The sequence below is a fragment of the Homo sapiens genome, chromosome 1, assembly GCF_000001405.40.
Source record: "Homo sapiens chromosome 1, GRCh38.p14 Primary Assembly".
NCBI lineage: Eukaryota > Metazoa > Chordata > Mammalia > Primates > Hominidae > Homo > Homo sapiens.
Window position 1 is genome coordinate 168,657,525 of NC_000001.11, and position 25,965 is coordinate 168,683,489.

The following is a 25,965-nucleotide window of genomic DNA, read 5'->3' on the forward strand; positions in this document are numbered from 1 at the left end:
TTAGTTTAACAGGTCAAGTTAGCAGCTTATTTTTGAATCCTTGTAGAAAAGAAAACATTTCCTTTAAAATACGAGAACAACAGAATAAACGATTCATGAGAATAAGGTCAAATGTTTTCTAGCTGAACTAATATAGTTTTACAATGTCTCCTATAGTTGATCTACCAGTGGAAAGGTAATTAGAGAGTCACTTATTTATTTCTTAGGGCACTAAGTTCCCAAAGCCATCAGTTCCCATAAAGAATCCTGGGGTCTGTAATATTTTGTGTCATAGCCAAGGAATAATTTTCCACTCTTCTTTCTGGGTTTATACAATATCACAGCAATCGGTGACATTAAGACTATTATTTAGAAATGAATTGAGTGACTCATAACTTATTATTGATTTCAAAAGCTTTAGCTGACTTCTGTCTTGAGAATCTGCATTTATCCAATCTCTGTTTCCAAACAGTGGATGCTAACATCATGAAAAACAATGGCCGTACTTCATAAATGAAGTTAACCATGCTGGTTCACTATGCATAGCGCAGGCATCATGTGTCATGGGGAAAAACCATGCCCTGCATATTTATTTTCTTAAAACTAAGATGACAATACTGACCCAGTATCAAAAGAATATATTCCTTGAATGTAGTTTTCTAGTTTGTGAATAATTTCCCTGAACTGAGCTATTTATTATTGCTTATTATCATTTGATACATACATTTGAGACAGTTGCCTCTGGTGAGGGATAACAAGTGTTCTAAAAGAACAGAGTAAAGTCCCCTGGCTCTTGGAGGGAACTCAGACTGTCACATGCTTGAATGGAGAAATTTCAGTGTCTTCTTATCTTTACAGTTGTTTATTGCCCTCCACAAAGAATGGCCCAAATATGAATTTTTTAAAATACATATTTCATAAAAGCATTTTGGCAGTTATGAGATTAAAATATAATAAATATTCTTTAAAAATGTAAGCGATGGTGGTATTTACTAGGGTAAGGCTTGGTTTCTTGAAGCAAATCCCATGCCATGATCATCAGCAAAATGCAAATCAAACCATAGTGAGATATCACCTCACCCCAGTTAAAGTCCCTATTATCAAAATGACAAAAAATAACAAATTCTGGGGAGGATGTGGAGAAAGGCAAACTCTTAAACACTGGTGTTGGTCATGTAAATTAGTGCTGCCATTATGAAAAAAAGTGTGAAGTTTCCTAAAAAAAATTGAAAATAGAACTATCATATGGTCCAGCAACCCCACTGCGGAGTGTATATCCAAAGAAAAAGAAGTTAGTACAGGCATACTTCATTTTATTGTGCTTCACTGTATTGCACTTCAAAGATACTGTGTGTTTTTATTGTATTTATTTATTTTTTGAGATGGAGTCTCTCTCTGTCACCCAGGCTGGAGTGCAGTGGCGTGATATCAGCTCACTGCAACCTCCGCCTCCTGGGTTCAAGTGATTCTCCTGCCTCACCCTCCCGAGTAGCTGGGATTACAGGCACCTGCCACCATGCCCTGCTAATTTTTGTATTTTTAGTAGAGACGGGATTTCACCATGTTGGCCAGGCTGGTCTCGAACTACTGACCTCAGGTGATCCACCTGCCTTGGCCTCCCAAAGTGCTGGGATTACAGGCGTGAGCCACCGTACCTGGCCAGATACTGTGTTTTTTCCAAATTGAAGGTCTCTGGCAATCCTGCATCAAGCAAGTCTATCAGGGCCATTTTTCCAAGAGCATGTGCTCACTTTATGTCTCTGAGTCACATTTTCATAATATTTCTAACTTTTTCATTATTATTTTATCTGTTATGGTGATCTGTGATCAGTGGTCTTTGATGTTACATTGCAATTATTTTGGGGTGCCATGATCTACCTCTGTAGAAGATAGTGAAATTAATCCTTAATTGTTGTGTGTATTATGACTGCTCCATTGATTAGCTCTTCCCCTGCCTGTCCCCCACTCCTCGGGCCTCATCCCCTGAGACAGAACAATATTAGAATTAGGCCAATTATTAACCTTACAATGATCTCTAAGTGTTCAAATGGAAAGAAGAGTCTTGTGTCTTTCTTTTCTTTTTTTTTTTTTATTATTATACTTTAAGTTTTAGGGTACATGTGCACAATGTGCAGGTTAGTTACATATGTATACATGTGCCATGCTGGTGTGCTGCACCCATTAACTCGTCATTTAGCATTAGGTATATCTCCTAATGCTATCCCTCCCCCCTCCCCCCACCCCACCACAGTCCCCAGAATGTGATGTTCCCCTTCCTGTGTTCATGTGTTCTCATTGTTCAATTCCCATCTATGAGTGAGAATATGCGGTGTTTGGTTTTTTTGTCCTTGCGATAGTTTACTGAGAATGATGATTTCCAGTTTCATCCATGTCCCTACAAAGGACATGAACTCATCATTTTTTATGGCTGCATAGTATTCCATGGTGTATATGTGCCACATTTTTTTAATCCAGTCTATCATTGTTGGACATTTGGGTTGGTTCCAAGTCTTGCTATTGTGAATAGTGTCGCAATAAACATACGTATGATTTATAGTACTTTGGGTATATACCCAGTAATGGGATGGTTGGGTCAAATGGTATTTCTAGTTCTAGATCCCTGAGGAATCGCCATACTGACTTCCACCATGGTTGAACTAGTTTACAGTCCCACCAACAGTGTAAAAGTGTTCCTATTTCTCCACATCCTCTCCAGCACCTGTTGTTTCCTGACTTTTTAATGATTGCCATTCTAACTGGTGTGAGATGGTATCTCATTGTGGTTTTGATTTGCATTTCTCTGATGACCAGTGATAATGAGCATTTTTTCATGTGTCTTTTGGCTGCATAAATGTTTTCTTTTGAGAAGTGTCTGTTCATATCCTTTGCCCACTTTTTGATGGGGTTGTTTGTTTTCTTCTTGTAAATTTGTTTGAGTTCATTGTAGATTCTGGATATTAGGCCTTTGTCAGATGAGTAGGTTGCAAAAATTTTCTCCCATTTTGTAGGTTGCCTGTTTACTCTGATGGTAGTTTCTTTTGCTGTGCAGAAGCTCTTTAGTTTAATTAGATCCCATTTGTCAATTTTGGCTTTTGTTGCCATTGCTTTTGGTGTTTTAGACATGAAGTCCTTGCCCATGCCTATGTCCTGAATGGTAATGCCTAGGTTTTCTTCTAGGGTTTTTATGGTTTTAGGTCTAACATTTAAGTCTTTAATCCATCTTAAATTAATTTTTGTATAAGGTGTAAGGAAGGGATCCAGTTTCAGCTTTCTACATATGGCTAGCCAGTTTTGCCAGCACCATTTGTTAAATAGGGAATCCTTTCCCCATTTCTTGTTTTTCTCAGGTTTGTCAAAGATCAGATAGTTGTAGATATGCAGCATTATTTCTGAGGGCTCTGTTCTGTTCCATTGATCTATATCTCTGTTTTGGTACCAGTACCATGCTGTTTTGGTTACTGTAGCCTTGTAGTATAGTTTGAAGTCAGGTAGCGTGATGCCTTCAGCTTTGTTCTTTTGGCTTAGGATTGACTTGGCAATGAGGGCCCTTTTTTGGTTCCATATGAACTTTAAAGTAGTTTTTTCCAATTCTGTGAAGAAAGTCATTGGTAGCTTGATGGGGATGGCATTGAATCTATAAATTTCCTTGGGCAGTATGGCCATTTTCACGATATTGATTCTTCCTACCCATGAGCATGGAATGTTCCTCCATTTGTTTGTATCCTCTTTAATTTCATTGAGCAGTGGTTTGTAGTTCTCCTTGAAGAGGTCCTTCACGTCCCTTGTAAGTTGGATTCCTAGGTATTTTATTCTCTTTGAAGCAATTGTGAATGGGAGTTCACTCATGATTTGGCTCTCTGTTTGTGTGTTATTCGTGTATAAGAATGCTTGTGATTTTTGCACATTGATTTTGTATCCTGAGACTTTGCTGAAGTTTCTTATCAGCTTAAGGAGATTTTGGGCTGAGACAGTGGGGTTTTCTGGATATACAATCATGTCATCTGCAAACAGGGACAATTTGACTTCCTCTTTTCCTACTTGAATACCCTTTATTTCCTTCTCCTGCCTAATTGCCCTGGCCAGAACTTCCAACACTATGTTGAATAGGAGTGGTGAGAGTGGGCATCCCTGTCTTGTGCTAGTTTTCAAAGGGAATGCTTCCAGTTTTTGCCCATTCAGTATGATGTTGGCTGTGGGTTTGTCATAGATAGCTCTTATTATTTTGAGATATGTCCCATCAATACCTAATTTATTGAGAGTTTTTAGCATGAAGTGTTATTGAATTTTGTCAAAGGCCTTTTCTGCATCTATTGAGATAATCATGTGGTTTTTGTCTTTGGTTCTGTTTATATGCTGGATTACATTTATTGATTTGCGTATATTGAGCCAGCCTTGCATCCCAGGGATGAAGCCCACTTGATCATGGTGGATAAGCTTTTTGATGTGCTGCTGGATTCGGTTTGCCAGTATTTTATTGAGGATTTTTGCATCAATATTCATCAAGGATATTGGTCTAAAATTCTCTTTTTTGGTGGTGTCTCTGCCCGGCTTTGGTATCAGGATAATGCTGGCCTCATAAAATGAGTTAGGGAGGATTCTCTCTTTTTCTATTGATTGGAATAGTTTCAGAAGGAATGGTACCAGTTCCTCCTTGTACCTCTGGTAGAATTCGGCTGTGAATCCATCTGGTCCTGGACTCTTTTTGGTTGGTAAGCTATTGATCATTGCCACAATTTCAGCTCCTGTTATTGGTCTATTCAGAGATACAACTTCTTCCTGGTTTAGTCTTGGGAGAGTGCATGTGTCTTTCATTTTAAATTGACAGCTAGAAGTGATTAAGCTTAGTGAGGAATGATTATCGAAAGCTGAGATAGGCCAAAAGCTAGGCCTCTTGCATCAAACAGTTAGCCAAGTTGTGAATAAACAGGTAAAGTTCTTGAAGGAAATTAACAGTGCTACTCCAATGAACATATGAATAACAAGAAAGCAAAACAGTCTTATTGCTGATACGGAGAAAGTTTTAGAGACCCAGATAGAAGATTAAATGAGCCTCAACATTCCCTTAACCCAAAGTGCAATCAAGAGCTAGGCCCTAACTTACTTCAATTCTATGAAGGTGGACAGAGGTGAGAAAGCTGCAGAAAAAAATTTGAATGTAGCAGAGATTGATTCATGAGGTTTAAAGAAAGCAGCCATCTCTATAAGATAAAAGGGCAAAATGAAGCAGCAAGTGCTGATGTAGAAGCTGCAGCAAGTTATCCAGAAGATCTAGCTAAGATCACTGATGAAGGTGGTTATACTAAACAACACAATTTCATTGTAGATGAAATGCTGGATCCTTATTTTACAAGAAGATGCTATCTAAGACTTTCATAGCTAGAGAGATGAAGTCAATGCCTGGCTTCAAAGCTTCAAAGGACAGAGGGGCACTCCTGTTAGGGGCTAATGCTACTTGTGACTTTAAGTTGAAGCCGCTGCTTATTTATCATTCTGAAAATTCAAGGGCCCTTAAGAATTATGGTAAATGTGCTCTGTCTGTGCTCTATAACTGGAACAACAAAGCTTGGATGACAGCATATCATGTATTCAGCATGTTTTGCTGAATATTCGAAGCCCACTGTTGAGACCTACTGCTCAGAAAAAAAGATTCTTTTCAATATATTATTGCTCATAGACAATACAACTAGTCAAGAGCTCTGATGGAGACGTACAAAAAGATTAATGTTGTTTTTATGTCTGCTAATATAATATCCATGCGGCAGCCCATGGATGAAGGAGTAATTTCAACTCTCATGTCTTATTTTATTTAAGAAATATATTTTATAAGGCTACAGCTGCCATCAATAGTGATTCCTCTGATGGACCTGGGCAAAGAAAATTGAAAACTTTCTGGGAAGGATTCACTGTTCTAGATGCCATTATGAACATTTGTGATGAATGAGAGGAGGTCAAAAGATCAACTTTAACAGGAGTTTAGAAGAAGTTGATTCCCACCCTCAGATGACTTTGAGGAGTTCAGGACCTCAGTGGAGGAAGTCACTGCAGATGTGGTGGAAGTAGAGAACTAGAGCTAGAAGTGGAGCCTGAAGATGTGACTGAATTGCTGCAATCTCATGAATTGCTGCAATCTCATTATAAGACTTGAACAGATTAGGAGTTTCTTCTTATGGATGAGCAAGTAAAGTAGTTTCTTGAGATGGAGTCTACTCCTGCTGAAGATGCTGTGTACATTGTTGAAATGACTACATAAGATGTAGAATAGTCCATAAACTTAGTTGATAAAGCAGTGACAGATTTTGAGAGGATTGCCTCCAATTTTGAAAGAAGTTCTACTGTAGGTAAAATGCTACCAAACAACATCACATGTTATATAGAACTCTGCTGGAAAGGAAGAGTCAACTGATGAGGCATAGTTAATTGCATCTTATTTTAAGAAATTACCACAGCCATTTCAACCTTCAGCAATCACCACCCTGATCAGTCAGCAGCCATCAGCATTAAGGCAAGATGCTTCACCAGGAAAAAGATGACAACTTGCTGAAGGCTAAGATGACTGTTTGCATTTTTTAGTAATAAAGTATTTTTCAATTAGGTATATACATTTTTAAAAGACATAATTTAATTGCACAGTTAGACTACATTATAGTATAAACATAACTTTTATATGCACTCGGAATTAAAAAATCCATGTGACTCACTTCATTGTGACATTTGCTTTATTGTAGCAGTTGGGAACTGAATTCACACTATCTCTGTGGTATGCCTGTATGTCAAAGAGATATCTGCACTCCCATGTTAATTGCAGCATTATTTGCAATAGCCCAAGACAGGAAACTGAGCTAAGTGTTCATCATTGTATAAATGGAAAAAGAAAATGTGGTGTATTTACACAGTTGAATGATATTTAGCCATAAAAAAAGAATGAAATCCTATAATTTGCAGCAATATGGATTAGCCTGGAGAACATAATGTTAAGTGAAATAAGCCAGGTGCAAAAAGACAAATACTGCATAATCTCACTTGCATGTGGAATCTAAAAAGTTGATCTCATAAAACTAAAGAGTAGAATCGTGGTTACCAGAAGCTGGGGAGGAAGAGGGAGTGGGGAGGATGAAGAGAGGTTGTTCAGTAGGTACAAAGTACAGTTACGTAAGAGGAATTAGTTCTGGCATTCTGTTGCACAGTAGAGTAGCAATAGCTAACAATAATATATTGCATATTTCAAAGTAGCTAGGAGAGGATTTTGAATGTTTTCACCATAAAGAAATAGAAATGTCTAAGGTGATAGATATGCTAATTCCCCTAATTTGATCTTACCCATGGTATACATGTATGGAGACATCACTTTTTACCCCATAAATATGTACAATAATTATGTGTCAATTAAGTTTTTTAAAAATAAGACAACTGAAGATCAATAGAGAACTAAATGGCCACTCTTTGAATCATTTCTCAACCAACTATATTTTAGTGTCTATCTCACTTAGGTATATGCCAGACATTGACTTCACAATGAAGAGCAAGAATGATAAAATACAGTTCCTACCCTAAGAAGCACAGAATCTTCTTTATGGAGAAATATATCAGGTATTTCTATTTACATCAGGTAGGGGAATGAGTTTAAAGGGAAATAAGGCTTAAGAATTATCAAAATAAATTATATATGTTTCAGTTATATTTCCCGTTAAGTATTGTTAAACTGCAATCCTAAGATTTTTGTGAAAAATCTTTTCTCTTTCTTTTTTTCTTTTTTAGAGACAGGGTCTCCCTATCTTGCCCAGGCTGGTCTTGAACTCCTGGGCTCAAGCAATCCACCTGTCTTGGCCTCCCAGGTGCTGAGATTACAGGCGTGAGCCACCATAGTACTCGGATTACAGGCTTAAGCCACCATGCCTGGTCTTCAAAAACCTTCTTTTCCATTTCATTTCTCATCTAGACTTTGATATAATGCTTTAGTTCTGTTTCTTCTCCCTTTTTGACATTAGGACTTTCTCTAACTTTCTATAAACTCTCTTATTTCTGTGTTATTAAAGCCATCTTCTTAAAAGGCTTATTATGTCACTCCCTACTTCATAATCTTTAATGGTTACCTGTTAGAAGTAATATAAATTAGAGATCATGAAATTTGGAAAATGCCAGAGTTAGTTTCAAGTATTCTGAGATATCTGGTAAGTTACTTAGCGTTTCTAATCCTCAAGGCACTTATTTGTAAAATACAGACACTAAACTTACTTTCCTCATAGGATTTTGGTGAGGACACATTCCCTGGTGATTCCTGGTACTCAGTAAATTATGGCCATCACAGTGATTAAATATTGTGTATAAGATCCCATTCCTTTAACATATTTCTTGCCAGGGATACCATGGAACAGATTTCTCTTTGGCTAAGAGACTAGTCTAGATAATTGTAAAGTTGCCTTGAAAGATTTTCTGGATCCTTGGCCCATTCTAACACTATATTTGCATTATACTCATGAAACAGCAGTGTTCAGTCTATAAATCCCTTGTAAAGGTTTTAAATAACTCTCAACACATCTCTTAAAGGCCATAAGATGGTAATAGGACAAAGGAGGGGATGTGCCTCTTGCATGCTGCCAATATTGGCTAGGTGCTAACCAGAGACACTGAGGAGAAGGACTTGGTAACGTGGTGGCAACATTCCCAATGCCTTAAGCTGAGTAGTCCTCTCTTCTGCAGTGACTGATTGCTATTTATAGCCTTAATTTTTGGAGCTTCTAAGTAAGTGTCCTCAAAGGAACTTATCAAAGAAAAGCAGAAGCTAGAAGCAGCAGCCAATTTCCTTTATATAATTGTGATTTTGAATATAATGACATTGAAAATGATGCATTGAAGATAATGTATATCTTGTTTATATTTATGACTTATGAATTTCCAGTCTCTAAAAATGAGATATAATGTGTCTATGGTACCTACAGGTCTCAAGTACTTTTTCCAAAATGTCTGCATATCCTGCCTTTGTATGTTCTTGAAGAGTGACTCAATCCCAGCAAGTTAGAGTCTTTGACATGGAAAGTTCCCTTCAAGGTGTCTTCCCCATTCTCTTTTCTTCCACAAAAAGAGACAGAAGAGAACAAGATGGTGTTGCTGAACTTCCAGCAGAGGAAGAGGAAGGGAAAAAGAAATTCAAGTTATCTTTCTTATCTCCACACACATAGAGTTTTCCTTCATGGGAAGCTGAATCTTGATATGATCAGATATGGGATATCTTCTGTAATCATGGGAAGCTGAATCTTGATATGATCAGATATGGGATACCTTCTGTAATGTTAGAGGGCCTGAGTTGATGGTCAAGCCTGAGGGCTAGAGGGGAAGGAGAACTATGTCATGTACAAAATAGGAGGAACTAATGTAAACGCTTTATAGAGTTCTCTAACAACAACAACAACAAAAAGACAAACAAAACACTTATTGGGTACAATACCAGTCCTTCCTTAGTTCTTTGATAGAAGAATATGATAAATAAGCTCTGTCTGAAATTTTCAAATTATTTAGCAAAAATTATTAGATGGAAGTGCTTGAAGTAATGGCAGTTTTTTTTTGTGGCAGTTCAGGGTATATATACAGAGCTAGGGTTAACTGGGTAAGTATCTTTTAGCTTAATGAACATGAAGCTTCATTCTACATATATAGAATTTATTTATTTATGACTTCATAGATCATTGTTGTTGGAGACAAACAACAGTAAAGTGTTTGCCAAAAACTTTGAAAAATTAAATAAAATTGCTGTGAGACATACCTAAATATCACAAGTAAAATATGCAATGCCATTTTACTAGTTAGGCTAGGCAAAGTTTCATTATAGTGAAAATCAACTGCAAAATCTCCATGGATTACTCATCATGATTTGTTTCTTGTTTATATAGTATGTGTCCTTCACATACTATAGCAAGTATCTTACCTAGAGCCCTGTGTTCCATATTTTCCTTCTGTTGGGACCCAGAGTAGACCTCAAGTAACCTCTTAAAAATTTGGTTTCCTTGAGGCTTTTCTAGAAAAAAAGAGAGGAATGGTCATGAGGATGCCAGCATCTAGTTCACTTAGTATAGTTCTATTTTAAATTAACACATCAATATCCTGGTTTTATAAATTGAGTTTTGTAAGCTTAGTTGGCTTGAATTAGCTTCCTCATTAAAAGGGGTTTGCTACATACTTTTATAAACAAAACCATAAAGTGTGCACTTTATTCATGATTCAATATTAAGTATTTTTTTCTATTAGATTTCACAGTCAAATAAATCAATTTTGTGAGCCAGTATCTTTATGTTGTCATATAGAGGACTGTACAAGATGTTGCAGAAGAGATTAGTATTTGAATCAGTAGACTAAGTGAAGAAGATTGCCTTCATCAATATGGGTGAACATTATCCTCTTTTTTGAGTACCTGAATAGAACAAAAAGGTGAAGGAAGAGTAAATTTTCTCTCCTGCTTGAGCTGTGATATCCATTTTCATCTGCCCTTGGACATTGGCACACCTAGTTCTTGGGCTTTTGGACTTAGACTAGGGCTTACACATCATCCCCCTGCCAATTCTCAGACTTTCAGACTTGAGCTGAATGACACCACTGACTTTCCTAGTTCTCCAGCTTGTAGACAGCAGATTAGGGAACTTCTCAGCCTCTATAACTGCATAAGCAAACCCCTGTAATAAATGTTCTCATATATATATATATATATATATATATATATATATATATATATATATCCTATTAGTTTGGTTTCTCTGGAGAACACTGATACATACAGTAATGGTACCAAGTTATTTAGCTAAATATTAATATAAGTGTTTTTATGAAGGCATTTTGAAGATGTGGTTAATATCTACAATCAGTTGTCTTTAAGTAAAGATTGTCCTTGGCCAGGGATGGTGGCTCACGTCTGTAATCCCAGCACTTTGGGAGGCCGAGGCAGGTGGAACACTTGAGGCCAGGAGTTTGAGACCAGGCTGGTCAACATGGCAAAACCTAGTTTCTACTAAAAATACAAAAATTAGCTGGGCTTGGTGATGCATGCCTGTAATCCCAGCTACTCGGGATGCTGAGGCACGAGAATCGCTTAAGCCCAGGAGGTGGAGATTGCAGTGAGCTGAAAACACTCCATTGCACTCCAGTGTGGGTGACAGAGTGAAATTCTGTTTCAAAAATAATTAAAGATTTTCCTTGATAATCCAGGTGGGTCTCATTCAATTAGGTGGAAGGCCTTTACAAGAAAAACTAAGGTTTCCCTGAAGTAGAATAAAGTTTTCCTGTGGATTTCCTACCTGCTGGGCTGCCCTACAGATTTTGAACTAGCCAGTCCTTATGACCACATAAGCCAATTTCTTGATATAAATCTCTCTCTCTGTCACTATCCAATATATGCAATATAATATCTGTGTGTTTTTTTTTTTGGTAGATCCCTGATTGGGTTATGCAAAGAAAAGCAAGCAGCACCTCACTTCCCAGTACAAAAAGAAATCTGTACCCATCATGTACTGGGAAGTGAGGTGCTGCTGTAACAAATATGTACAAACAAGAAAGCGGCTTTGGAACTGGGTAATGGGTAGAGGCTGGGAGAATTTTGAGAAGCATGAAAGAAAAAGCCTAGATTGCTTTGAAGAGACTACTGGTAGGAATATAAAGGCATTTCTAAGGAGTTATCAGAAGAAAACCAGAAACATTATTAGGAACTAAAGGAAATAATTTTTTTTTTTTTTTTTTTTTTTTTACAAACTGGCAGAAAACTTGCCTGAATTGTGTTATATTATTGGTTGGAAAGCAGAACTTGTAAACAATGAAGTTGGATATTTAGGCTTGTTTTCTTTTTTTTTTAACTGCTTAGAGTAAGATGAAACAGAAAAGATATAAACTGAGGGAGAGATGGTTAAGCAATTGAAAAACTTATTGGAAAATAAAAAAAAAGAAAATGATAAGCAAAAATAATAAGCATTTGATGGTTTGGGAAATTCTCAATCTATCCAGATTACAAAGGATGCTAAAATTAGAGAATTCACTGTTGAGAAAATGTGCTCTGGAGAGAAGGTCAAGGGTATAGCTGGACAACTTATTATTGAAGAGATTAGCCATGTCACTCGTGGGTCCAATCAACCATTTCAGAAGAAGCCAGGAATAAAAATGAACTTATCCAAGAAGAATCACTGGAGAACTCTATTGTCTAATGCAGTGAATACTCTTGACATACATGGGAGACCCATGATGTTTTTGGAAATGTTACATCAGTAGAAACACTGCCAGCTTGGACTGAAAGGGACAAAGACTAGACAAAATTAAAAAACATTGATTAGATTCCCAATATTCTATAGGCAAGAAATGAACTGCTATAGCTACTCAGCTTCAAATATGTACTACCATTCAAGGAAAAGAAAGAATGATGCAGGGGGTGGAACTGTGGACCCAGAAGCTGATGATGGTGGAGCAGCTGCTAAGGAAATAGGAAAAGGGCCTATTTCTAAAAGTAAAGACTCAGGGGTGATGGAGCTGTGGGCCCAGAGCGTAGAACTGTGAGCCACAAAGGACTATTCTTAGGCCTTAAAACCATAAGCCAAGGAGTGACAAGAGCCACCAGACGCTGGAAAAATCAATGAAGGATGCTTGCTTAGGGTCTTCGGGGTAAACAAGACCCTGCTGACACACTGATTTCAGACCTACAGAACTGTGAGAAATGAATTTCTATTGTTTTAAGCCACTAAGTTTGTGGTGATTTGTTAGGGCAGCCCTAAGAAGCCAAAGCATAACCTTATATTGCTTATTTGTACACACTTATATTTAATTTTGTATTAAATACAAAAATAAACATTTATTATGTGCCTGCTCTTTGTGAAAGGCACTGGTCCTAGGTGCTGAGAATATAGCAATGAATAAAATACATTCCCAAAATATACCAGGCAAGCAAAACAAAACACTTGCCACACCGTGTCATAAGTTCTGTGATAAGGATAACTAAAGAAGCTATGGGAATGCAGAGCAGCGCCCCCAACCCAGTCTAGGTTGCTTAGGGAAGGCCTCTTCAAATGTTAGGAGTTAGCTAAGGAAGGGGATAGAGTGAAGAGAGGAGCAGGTGCAAAACCTCAGATCCGGCCAGGCGCGGTGGCTCACGCCTGTAATCCCAGCACTTTGGGAGGCCGAGGCGGGCGGATCACGAGGTCAGGAGATCGAGACCATCCTGGCTAACACGGTGAAACCCCATCTCTACTAAAAATACAAAAATTTTTCTGGGCGCGGTGGCGGGCGCCTGTAGTCCCAGCTACTCGGGAGGCTGAGGCAGGAGAATGGCGTGAACCCGGGAGGCGGAGCTTGCAGTGAGCCGAGATAGCAAGATAGCGCCACTGCACTCCAGCTTGGGCGAAAGAGCGAGACTCCATCTCAAACAAAACAAAAGAAAACAAAACAAACAAACAAACAAAAAACCCCCCAAAAACCCTCAGATCCAAGAGAAGATGGAGAGTTTGTTCAAGAGACTGTAAATAGCTCCATATGGCTGGAGTCTTGGGCATGATGGAGGTATCAGATAGTAAGGAGGTGGATGGGGCTTAGCTTGGTGATTGGGCACAGGATGGCAGAAAGAGAGAATGTCAACAAGGCTTCAGACACTGTAAGTAATGGGGCCATTCCTGAGACAGAGACAAGAGAAATACCCGATTTGTGAAGGAGAATAATTTCAGTTTTTAATATTTTGAATGTGAGGTAGATGTAGGGCATCCAATAGAGGATGGACAATAGGCCATTGGAGTTAGGTTTATGGAGTTTGGGCAAGACTAAACTGATTTCTCTCAAATAAAGGTGGTATGGAGTTTGTAATTGGAAGTTGAGGAAATGGAGATAATTATTTTTAAAAGTTCAACTTTGAAGAGGAAGAGATACAGTTGAGAAGTCACTAAAGGGAAATATCAGTTGAGAATGGGTTTATTATGGGAAAGTTTTGAATAACCTTTCAAAGTTGTGACAATAGAAATGAGAGAAAGACACTAATTCAAGACAGAAGGAATAAGTAATCGGTAGGGTGAGGTCCCAGAAAAGACAGAAGGAGATGGTTCGGAGTACTGGTGGGATGATTAGTCTCAGACAAGTGGCACATATGTTATGTGTGGCAAGAGGGAAGAGGGAAAGGATGGGATACAAGTGCCAGCAAGCGTGTGGGTTGCGGCAGGAAGACTTAGAGAAAGACATCTATTGTATTGGTTGTTTACTGCAATGTAACCAATTACCCCAAACTTAGTGGCTTAAAACAATGAACATGTACTATCACATTGTTTCTGTGGGTGGGGTTTCTGGCACAACTTTAGCTGGGTGCCTCTCATTCAGAGTCTCTTACATATAGCAGCCAAGTTGTCAGTCAGGGCTGCAATCATTTCAGAGCTCAACTGAGGGAGCATCCACTTTCAAGCTCACTCACATGGTTGCTGGCAGTTTCTTGTCATGTGTACCTCTTTACAGTCACCTTGAGAATGAGAGTCCTCACAACATAGTAGCTGGCTTCCCTCAGAGAGGGTGATTCAAGAAGGAGAAAGCCAGACAGAGCACCCAAGATGAGAACCACACAGACTTCTTATGACCTAATACTTTCCTGGTTCATCCTGGACTTGTGAGATTCAATCTCCAAGTCAGTGCTTTCATCATAATTGCCTCTTCATCATGCCCATCCCTAAGTTCTTTTCTCCAGATTGTGCAGTAGCTCTGTTTTGGTTATTTACTTCTCTAGTCCAGTTGTATGTGTCCTTCCTTCTATTATTAAAATATCACAGCCATCCAGCCTCCTTTTTTGGAGATGTCCAAGTCATGCTGCTGTAGCTATTATAATTATTCTTATTTTCATTATGCGAACTCTTAGAAAACATGGTCACAATAGAGACAATATTAAAAAAATGAAACTAGCACTATCTCAGTACAAAGCACTGTAGTTAATCCACAAGATTAAAAGCACAAGTTAATCCACTTGAAGCAATGCAACAATGGATGATTCATTATGCATTGTGAGCTGCAAATAATGGTTGCCAACATCAGTGGTCATGGGAAAAAAAATTAACAGCAGTAGCTACTACAGAGGGTGGATAATCTGTGTCACATTCATTTGATGTAAAAAGTAGTGTTACTTCCAGCCCTATTTTTTTTTTGGAGGCACAGTATGGGTTTTTCACTTTTACCCTAACCTCCCATACCCATTGCCATTGGGACTTTCTGAATCCCAGGGAAGGGTTCTAGAGAGACAAAACTTTCAGTGCTAACACTGGGATAATCCCCAGGCAAACTGGGGTGGTTGGTCTTCTTATGTTATAAAGAGGTCCCAAAAAGATTGATGCCACTACTTGGTGGATGAATTCACATTGTGGGATATCCCTTACTTCTGTTTTTAAATTTGGCATGACCATCTCTGCTCACCAATATTCTGCAATGGTTTTCCCGAGGAATATCTTTCCTTCTCCACTTTTTCCCTCCTCCCTCACTACATACCTCTCACAGCACACTTTAAACTGGCCCTTCATTTTAGAGGCAAAAGTAAAAAGCACTGATAGAGCTTCACAAGAGAAAGGAAGAATGGAGGTAATTATCTGGACAACCTAGACAAAGAGGCTTATTATTGTTGCTACTTCAAAACAAGGCAGAAATGAGTGTGGGCTGTGAAAAATGATCTGATCCTTGGATAAAAAGGAAATAGCTTGTCCTTCTGAGCCAGAGCCCTCTATAAAGTGCTCCAATTGAGGCCAACAGAAAGACAGAAAGATTCTGAAAAACCAGGTTTCTCCCTCTGAAGTGTCACTGAGAGTAAGAGGCTCTGGCCAGATCTCTAAAAACTATCTTTGTTCTTTAACTTCCCTGTGTCTTTTAAGGAAGGCTTTATTTCTCAGGGGTTTGTCTATAGCAACAGCTCTTCACCACTTGTCTCTAGAAATGAGCTTCCTCTTATTTTGTTACTGATGAGTTCCAAATCCCTTCCCTCCACTCAGGGGCCAGTGTCAGAATGGAGTGTGGTTTGTGACCAACTGGGTCAGCCATTTTAACTTGGAGCACAGTTTTACATGTTTACCATATTTTAAAAAATCTCTTTCCTTCTCTATTTTTGCTTATTTTTACTTGTGATGATTACTCACCATTGTTCACTAGTCTCCTCCTTTACTGCAGGTACACAATCTACAAAAGGTGTTGGAGCACTAAATCCTTCTATCTAGTTGAGTGAGGGGCTAACTTTTGCCTAATAGGCCCATTTTCATAGGGCTGCCTCTGACTGAAAGGCCTTACTTGCAGAAAAACAAACAAAAAGCCAAATGAGGACTTGCGAGCAACCTAACTTTCTTTTAGGATTTAAAAGATTCACTTTTTCTCTACTGATTTTGTTTTGGGGGAAGAAGACTGTCTTAATGACCTGTTGTCTGAATTTCCCCAATTTTCTGTGTTGTTCATTTATAAGGTGCTTACTAGCAAAATCAAAAAGTTTCTGCAAAGTTTTAAACACTTTTATAAAAACAAAATAACAACAAAAAAGTGCATGTATTTTCTCAATAATATTTTAGCCATACTGAATTGTGCCATGGCCTATGGACACATTCCTGAGTACCTCCAGGGATGAGAAGTGGAGTCTGGGTGAAAATGTAAAGAAAAGGCTTTATTTACAAAGCCTCATGTATTCCAGCCTCCCTCATCTTCACTGTAGAGCTGCTCAAGTTAATGGAGCCTGTACACAACTTTCGGGAAGAAGAGGCTGCTGTGGGAGGGCAGGATGGTTTTCCTTTGTCATGGAAAGATTTTCAGTTTGATGGGGGAAACAGAGGGAAAAATATCCAGAGTGACCAGCTGGAATTTAGGGTAATGTTTTTAAAAAGATGGGATTGTTAAAACCATATTTCACCCAGCTGTCTTTGATGGTGACTACATCTCACAAAGCACAGCAGTCCTTTGCTTGGTGCTGTCTGGGATCCCAGCCCTTGGCATTGTAGAAATGCTAGAGAGTAAATTCATTTGCTGCCAGGAGTGTTCTCAGTGCCAGGCAAGCATCTTTGCTTTTGTCTTTTTCCAAGTTTTTCATTTGCTTAGCAGTGGTCTTCAAACCAACCTCCTAGAGAGCATATTCCACGCTCCAAAACTAAAATGTTTAGTGCTAAAGTGTTCCACCACTAATGCAGAATAATAGTGGCTACATCCCAATTCACAGAGAAAACAAAATTACAGAATGGATTGATACCTGATTTTAGCTATTACTCCCATAAATATTGGCAGTGCTTCAACACCTGAATAAACAATTAGCTCATAAAACTAGAAATATAAGAAATATTTATTAAGGTGATTGAACTTGGAATCCTGACTCTGCCACTTATGTAGGCAAGTTAATCCACTGCTCTCTAGCTTCAGTTTTATCATCTGTAAAACGGGCATATAAAAATCCTTAGTTCATTTGGTGGCTGTATTAAATTATACATTAGTATGGTAACTTGAATGTGTTACACACTCAAAAAATACTCATTTTAAAAAAGATATGGATACTGGAAAATATGAAATGTAATCCTTTAGTAAGATATTTTTTTTCCTAATTTGTCTTATGGCATTACATGCATGAGTATTTCATTGTATTTAGTGTCACTCCGAGGGCCCACCTCTTCTTTTCACCAAGCTTGTCAATCAGAGTACGTTATAGTTACTTTTTTTTGTTTTTTGTTTCTTGAGATGGAGTCTTGCTCTGTTGCCCAGGCTGGAGTGCAGTGGCGTGATCTTGGCTCACTGCAAGCTCCGCCTCCTGGGTTGACGCCATTCTTCTGCCTCAGCCTCTCAAGTGGCTGGGACTACAGGTGCCCACCACCACGCCTGGCTTATTTTTTTATATTTATTTTTGCATTTTTAGTAGAGACGGGGTTTCGCCATGTTAACCAGTCTCGATCTCCTGACCTCGTGATCCACCCACCTCGGCCTCCCAAAGTGCTGGGATCATAGGCGTAAGCCACTGCGCCTGGCTGTTATAGTTTCTTATTTATCCTTGAGGTCAACTTCAGTGAAAGTGTTTCCTTATATATTTGCCAACATTTCCATCTTCTTCTAGGAAGATAGGGATCCTTGTGCTAAGGCCTACATTTTGGATTCTGTTTTTTTGTTCCTCTTCAATTGTGGTGTCATTCTTTTCTGGCCTCAATTCAGGAGTGGCTCAATTATGGGATGAGTTTTCCTTTGGCTACGTCTCTCTGAATGCCCGTATCACACCCAAGCTCCTGTGCCTCTTTCACAAAGTCTTACCCTCCTACTATGCCAGACCTCGGCACTGTCCATCTTTCACCTCTGTTATGTGTGAATCCATACAGCAGTGATCTTACCTAATTAGATGTAAATTGACATTGTCTTGATTTTTTTTTCAGTATTTGTTTCTTTTGTGTCTGTATTATCTCCGTGACTAGATTATGAGATATTTAAGATCAGGACCATCATATGATGTACATATTTTTATTTATTGTTAACCCTTGTAGCCCCTAGCAGAGTGTAGCACTCACATCTGGTGCTCAGTGAGTACTAGCTTCCAAACTCCTTCCTAATTCAAAGTTGAAGGCATTTAGGGAGCTGAAAAGAAGGATTTACTCAGGCAACCTAAAACGGCAAGTAAGAATGTAGAATTGATACTAATAATGAATCAGCATATGGTGTTCAGAGTATGTTTTATCCTGTCTCAGCTGATGCTCACAAGAATGCAGTGTGGTACAGAGGAATTATTATAATTATCTTCATTTTACAGACAAAATCTCTGCCTCGTGAGGACTGAGTCACTTGCCCAAAGCTGTGCAGATTGAACATTGTAGAGGGGGAAGAGAGGCAGGTAATCTGACTCTGTATCCCACACCCCCCAACTCTGCTGTGCTGCTGCTTTCCCAACCTGGTTGGCGAAATATTTTCCTACAAAACTTCCTCTATAACTGTACACACCTGGTCCAAGGCATGAGGTTTCACACTTAGCCCCTGGAAGCCAGAGCCTTCATCATGAAGAAATTTCCTTCCTGATTTTCTCTGATGAATGAAATTTACCTAAGGCTTGTGATCTTGGTTAGAAGCAGATTATTTGCATTTTAAATTAAAATGTCGTCCTTCAGAAAAAAACATTTGCCTAGGAATTTAGCAATTACACCAGGTGCACAGATACGGAAGTCAGGTCAATGCAGAATGCAGAAGGCAGCTGGCACATGCAGAGTGGAGCTAGCATGTGGTCTGAGGGCAAAGCTGAGGCTAAAATCTCTGGTCTGCGATTAGGAGGTCTGTCTTGTTGAGATCCTTCAAAGCTATTCCTACTGATGGTACTTTGAGGAAGCAAGCCACAGTCCCTGGCTTCTCAGGATTCACCTTGGGGAAAAAGAATGACCATATGGGAGTTGGATGAAAGCTGAAAATTTGCCTCAAACATCTCCAAGAGGCTCTACAAATATTCTCTTTTTTGAGGGACAATCACCTTTTCTTCATAAATTCACAGCTTTAGGAATATTTCACCATTCTTTATAGGACATAGTAGCCTTTGTCTTTTTTTCCCTGACATTGGAAAGATGTGCTAATTGAAACTTAGTAGGAACATTGTGCCAACTTGAAACATTGATTTAGTAAAAATCTCAATGTTTAGATCCTTTGTCCAGTGATGGTGTTTATCAGGGAATGTATTCAGCTTGCTCAGAAAAACAAAAGGGCATTAAAGCCGCAAAAGCAAAGAAGAAAAAAAAAACTTCCCATGTTTGGATCTTGTTCTAGTTAGAAAAATTAAGTTGAAATTATTGGACTTTTTCATTCATGAGGCAAATGCTGTAATACCTTGCCCTTTGACAGGTTTGGATTCTTAACATTACTAGTGGTATTTCAGGAAGTGAGGTTACAGTTACTTTAGTTATAGCGGCTAAGTGTATTAAGTTGAATGTAATGATGATAATATTAATTTGCTTGAACTGAGGCCCACTACTGATTCTTTAACAAATTGCTTGAATTCTTATATGTAAATAATTTTATGGGAATGTTCCATCATAATTTCTAAATCGTTCATATATCAAGGTAGCCTTAATTTGTATATGTTTCAGTACAATGAGATTTTATTGCCTCTGTGATGCTGTTTATTTTGTATTTTGTTGAACTTTTTTATCCTAGGAAGAGAAACCTGTGACTTCTGTACCTAGATCATCTGTTACATTAAAAAGCTGCTCTTTCAGCATTAGAGCTATAAATGAATGTTATCTTGTGGGGAAACAATCTAGGTTTTAGCTATATGAGCTATGTTTATTATGGTGCTTATGTTCAATAGCCACATTTCACTGATTTCTCCATTTTCTTTGATGCTGTGGCTAGCAGCAGAGCTCGCCAGTTCATGCCTGGACATACTGTCTTTGGGGTTGACTCTATATCTTTTTGATGTGGAAGTATAAAGCAAATATCTTGATTTCTAAACCCAGGAGCTTTTGAATTGACCTTTATGAGTGAAGACTTTTCGAGCTTTTAAAGATCTTGGCAGTCATGATCTCAAACCAATTTGGAGGTCCAAGCTCCCTTCCCAGGTAACTGTTGGGAGCAATGGCATCACTGTATGCCCTTGTAATGGCTCGAAGGGACATGATCTTGTAAGTAGGAAAGCTGTCACTTAAAATTGTATTGTTTGCTTATTAGCCATATATCTCTTAAACTTTTGTTATGTTTACAATGATGTACCTTATTGGCAACAAATTATTAGTTTGATGTTTAACAGTAGTGTCTTTAGTAAATTATTTTACAACTAAAAAAACCCAAATATTCTATTTTTTTCTTATTAAAAATATCTTTTTTTTTTTTTTTACTTTAAGTTCTAGGATACATGCACAGAACGTGCAGGTTTGTTACATAGGTATACATGTGCCATGGTGGTTTGCTGCATCTATCAACCAGTCATCTAGGTTTCGGCCCCATATGCATTAGCTATTTGTCATGATGCCATCCCTCCCCTCTCCCCCAACCCCATGACAGGCCCGAGTGTGTGTTGTTCCCCTCCCTTTGTCCATGTGTTCTCATTGTTCAATTCCCACTTATGAGTGAGAACATGTGGTGTTTGGTTTTCTGTTACTGTGTTAGTTTTCTGGGAATGATGCCTTCCAGCTTTATCCATGTCCCTGCAAAGGACATGATCTCATTCTTTTTTATGGCTGCATAGTATTCCATGGTGTATATGTACCACATTTTCTGTATCCAGTCTATCATTAATGGGCATTTGGGTTGGTTCCATCTCTTTGCTATTGCAATTAGTGCTGCAATAAACATAGCTGTGCCTGTGTCTTTATAGTAGAATGATTTATGTTCCTTTGGGTATACACTCAGTAATGGGATTGCTGGGTCAAATGGTATTTGGGTTTTAGGTCCTTGAGGAATTGTCACAGTGTCTTCCACAATGATTGAACTAATTTACATTCCCACCAACAGTGTAAAAGCATTCCTATTTCTCTACAGCCTCACCAGCATCTATTGGTTCTTGACTTTTTAATAACCACCATTCTAACTCACATGAGATGTTATCTTGTTGTGGTTTTGATTTGCATTTCTCTAATGATCAGTGATGTTGAGCTTTTTTGCATATGTTTGTTGGCCATGTAAATGTCTTCTTTTGAGAAGCGTCTTTTCATATACTTTGCCCCCTTTCAGATGGGGTTGTTTGTTTTTTCTTGTAAATTTGTTTAGGTTCCTTGTAGATTCTGGATATTAGACCTTTGTCAGATGGTAGATTGCAAAAATTTTCTCCCATTCTGCAGGTTGCCTGTTCACTCTGATGATAGTTTCTTTTGCTATGCAGATGCTCTTTAGTTTAATTAGATCCCATTTGTCAATTTTGGCTTTTGTTGACATTGCTTTTGGCATTTTCGTCTATGCCTATGTCCTGAGTGGTATTGCCTAGGTTTTATTCTAGGGTTTTCATAATTTTGGGTTTCACATTGAAGTCTTTAATTCATCTTGAGTTAATTTTTGTATAAGGTGTAAGGAAAGGGTTCAGTTTCAGTTTTCTGCATATGGCTAGCCAGTTTTCCCAGCACCATTTATTAAATAGAGAATCCTTTCCCCATTGCTTGTTTTTGTCAGGTTTGTCAAAGATCAGATGTTTGTAGATGGTTGTAGATGTGTGGTGTTATTTCTGAGGTCTCTGTTCTGTTCCATTGATCTATATGTCTGTTTTGGTATGAGCACCATGCTGTTTTGGTTACTGTAGACTTGTAGTAAAATTTGAAGTCAGGTAGAGTGATGCCTCCAGCTTTGTTTTTTTTGCTTAGGATTGTCTTTGCTATATTGGCTTTTTCTTGGTTCCATATGAAATTTAAAGTATTTTTTTCTAATTCTGTAAAGAATGCCAATAGTAGTTTGATGGGAATAGCATTTAACCTATAAATTACTTTTGGCAGTAAGGCCATTTTCATGATATTAATTCTTCCTATTCATGAGGATAAAATGTTTTTCCATTTGTTTGTGTCCTTTCTTATTTCCTTGGTTTGTAGTTCTTGAAGAGGTCCTTCATGTCCCTTGTTAGATGTGTTCCTAGGTATTTTATTCTCTTTGTAGCAATTGTGAATGGGAGTTCATTCATGATTTGGCTTTCTGCTTGTCTATTGCTGGCATATAGAAAAGCTTGTGATTTTTGCATGTTGATTTTGTATCCTGAGACTTTGCTGAAGTTGCTTATCAGCTTAAGGAATTTTTGGGCTGAGATGATGGGGTTTTCTAAATATAGAATCATGTTGTCTGCAAACAGAGACAATTTGACTTTCTCTCTTCCAATTTGAATACCCTTTATTTCTTTCTCTTGCCTGATTGCCCCAGCCAGAGCTTCCAATACTATGTTGAATAGGAGTGATTAGAGAGGACACCCTTGTCTTTTGCTGGTTTTCAAAGGGAATGCTTCTGGTTTTGCCCTTTCTGTGGGTTTGTCATAAATAGCTTTTATTATTTTGGGATATGTTCTATCAATACCTAGCTTATGGACAGTTTTTGACATGAAGGGATGTTGAATGTTATCGAAGGCCTTTTCTGCATCTATTGAGATAATTATGTGGTTTTTGTCATTGGTTCTGTTTACATGATGGATTACATTTATTGATTTGCCTATGTTGAACCAGCCTTGCATCCCAGGGGTGAAGCTGACTTGATCATGGTGGATAAGCTTTTTGATGTGCTGCTGCATTTGGTTTTCCAGTATTTTATTGGGGATTTTTGCATCAATGTTCATCAGGGACATTGGCCCGAGGTTTTTCTTTTTTGTGTCTCTGCCAGGTTTTTGTATCAGGATGATGCTGGCCTCATAAAATGAGTTAGGGAGGAGTCCCCTTTTCATTGCTTGGAATAGTTTCAGAAAGAGTACCAGCTCCTCTTTGTACCTCTGTTAGTATTTGACTGTGAATCCGTCTGGTCCCGGGCTTTTTTTTGTTGGTAGGCTGTTAACTACTGCCTCAATTTCAGAACGTGTTATTGGTCTATTCAGGGATTTGACTTCTTCCTGGTTTAGTCTTGAGAGAGTGTATGTGTCCAGGAATTTATCCATTTCTTGTAGATTTTCTAGTTTATTTGCATAGAGATGTTTATAGTATTCTCTGATGGTAGTTTGTATTTCTGTGGGGTCAGTGGTGATATCTCCTTTATCATTTTTTATTGTGTCTATTTGATTTTTCTCTCTTTTCTTCTTTATTAGTGTAGCTAGTGGTCTATTTTGTTATTTTTTAAAAAAAACACACTTCTGGATTCATTGATTTTTTTGAAGGGTTTTTCATGTCTCTATCTCCTTCATTTCTGCTCTGATCTTAGTTATTTCTTGTCTACTGCGAGCTTTTGGATTTGTTTGCTCTTGCTTCTCTAGTTCCTTTAATTGTGGTGTTAGGGTGTCAATTTGAGATCTTTCTAACTTTCTGATGTGGACCTTTAGTGCTATAAATTTCCCTCTTAACACTGCTTTAGCTGTCTCCCAGATATTCTGGTATGTTATCTCTTTACTCTCATTGGTTTCAAAGAACTTCTTGATTTCTGCCTTAATTTCATTATTTACCCAGGAGTCATTCAGGAGCAGGTCATTCAACTTCTATGTAGTTGTGTGGTTTTGAGTGAGTTTCTTAATCCTGAATTCTAATTTGATTGCACTGTGGTCCGAGAGACTGTTTATGCAAAAAATTTCAGTTTTTTTGCATTTGCTGAGGAGTGTTCTACTTCCAGTTATGTGGTAGATTTTAGAATAAGTGTCATGTGGCACTGAGAAGAATGTATATTCTGTTGATTTGTGGTGGAGAGTTCTGTTGATGTCTATTAGGTCCACTTGATCCAGAGCTGAGTTAAAGTTCTGAATATCCTTGTTAATTTTTTGTCTTGTTGATCTGTCTAATATTGGCAGTGGGGTGTTAAAGTCTCCCACTATTATTATGTAGGAGTCTAAGTCTCCTTGTAGGTATATAAGAACTTGTTTTATGAATCTGGGTGCTCCTGTATTGGATACTTAGAATAGTTAGCTCTTCCTGTTGCATTGATCCCTTTACCATTATGTAATGCCCTTCGTTGTCTTTTTTGATCTTTGCTGGTTTAAAGTCTGTTTTGTCAGAAACTAGGATTGCAACCCCTGCTCTTTTTTTGCTTTCCATTTGCTTGGTAAATTTTCCTCCATCCTTTTATTGTGAACTTATGTGTGTCTTTGCATCTGAGATGGGTCTCCTGAATACAGCACACCAGCGGGTCTTGACTCTTTATCCAGTTTGCCAGTCTGTGTTTTTAATTGAGGCATTTAGTCCATTTACATTTAAGGTTAATTTTATTATGTGTGAATTTGATCCTGTCATCATGATGCTATCTGGTTATTTTGCACAGTAGTTGATGCAGTTTCTTCATAGTGTCTTTGGTCTTTACAGTTTGGTGTATTTTTACAGTGGCTGGCACCAGTTTTTTTTTTTGTTTGTTTTGTTTTTTTTTTCCATATTTAGTGCTTCTTTCAGGAGCTGTTGCCAGGCAGGCCTGGTGGTGATGAAATCCCTCAATATTTGCTTGTCTGAGAAGGATTTTATTTCTCCTTCACTTATGAAGCTTTGTTTAGCTGGATATGAAAGTCTGGGTTGAAGATTCTTGTCTTTAAGAATGTTGAATATCAGACCCAAGTCTCTTCTGGCATGTAGGGTTTCTGCTGAGGGATCCATTGTTAGTCTGATGGGCTTCACTTTATAGATGACCTGGCCTTTCTCTCTGGATGCCTTGATATTTTTTCCTTCATTTCGACCTTGGAGAATCTGATGATTATGTTTCTTGAGGTTGATCTTCTCATGGAGTATCTTAGTGGTGTCCTCTGTTATTTCCTGAATTTGAATGTTGACCTGTCTTGCTATGTTGGAGAAGTTTTCCTGCATAATATCCTGAAGTGTGTTTTTCAGCTTGGTTCCATTCTCCCCGTCTCTTTCAGGTACTCAAATCAATCATAGGTTTGGTCGTTTTACATAGTCCCATGTTTCTGAGAAGTTTTGTTTTTTCTTTTTCAATCTTTTTTCTCTAATCTTGTCTGCCTGCCTTATCTCAGCAAGATGGTCTTCAAACTCTGATATTCTTTCTTCTGCTTGATTGATTTGGCTATTGATACTTGTGTATGCTTCACAAAGTTCAGCTCCATCTGGTCACTTATGTCCCTCTCTAAACTGGTTATTCTACTTAGCAGCTCCTCTAACCTTTTATCAAGGTTCTTAGCTTCTTTGCATTGGGTTAGAACATGCTCCTTTAGTTCAGCAGAATTTGTTGTTACCCACCTTCTGAAACCTGCTTCTGTCAATCCTTCCATCTCATCCTCCATCCAGTTCTGCACCCTTGCTGGAGAACTGTTGTTAACATTTGGAGAAGATGGACTCTGGCCTTTTGAGTTTTCAGCATTTTTTCATTGATTCTTTCTCATCTTCATGAGTTTGTCCAGTTTTGATCTTTGAGGCTGCTGACCATTGGATGAGGTTTTGTGAAGACTTTTTTGTTTTTCTTTCAATGCTCGGGTTCCTCTTCTGCAGGGCTGCTGTGGTT

The 25,965-nt window shown here is 38.2% G+C and overlaps 1 long non-coding RNA gene across 1 annotated transcript in view; it reads right to left on the reverse strand.

The window, feature by feature from the left end:
* LOC105371604 (uncharacterized) overlaps positions 1-9,027 on the reverse strand; it is a 28,428-nt gene extending 19,401 nt beyond the window's left edge. The window contains exon 1 of the long non-coding RNA XR_922259.3: positions 8,914-9,027. This is a non-coding gene — a long non-coding RNA (uncharacterized LOC105371604). The remainder of the gene's footprint in view (positions 1-8,913) is intronic.
* Between the last annotated feature and the right edge of the window lie 16,938 nt (positions 9,028-25,965).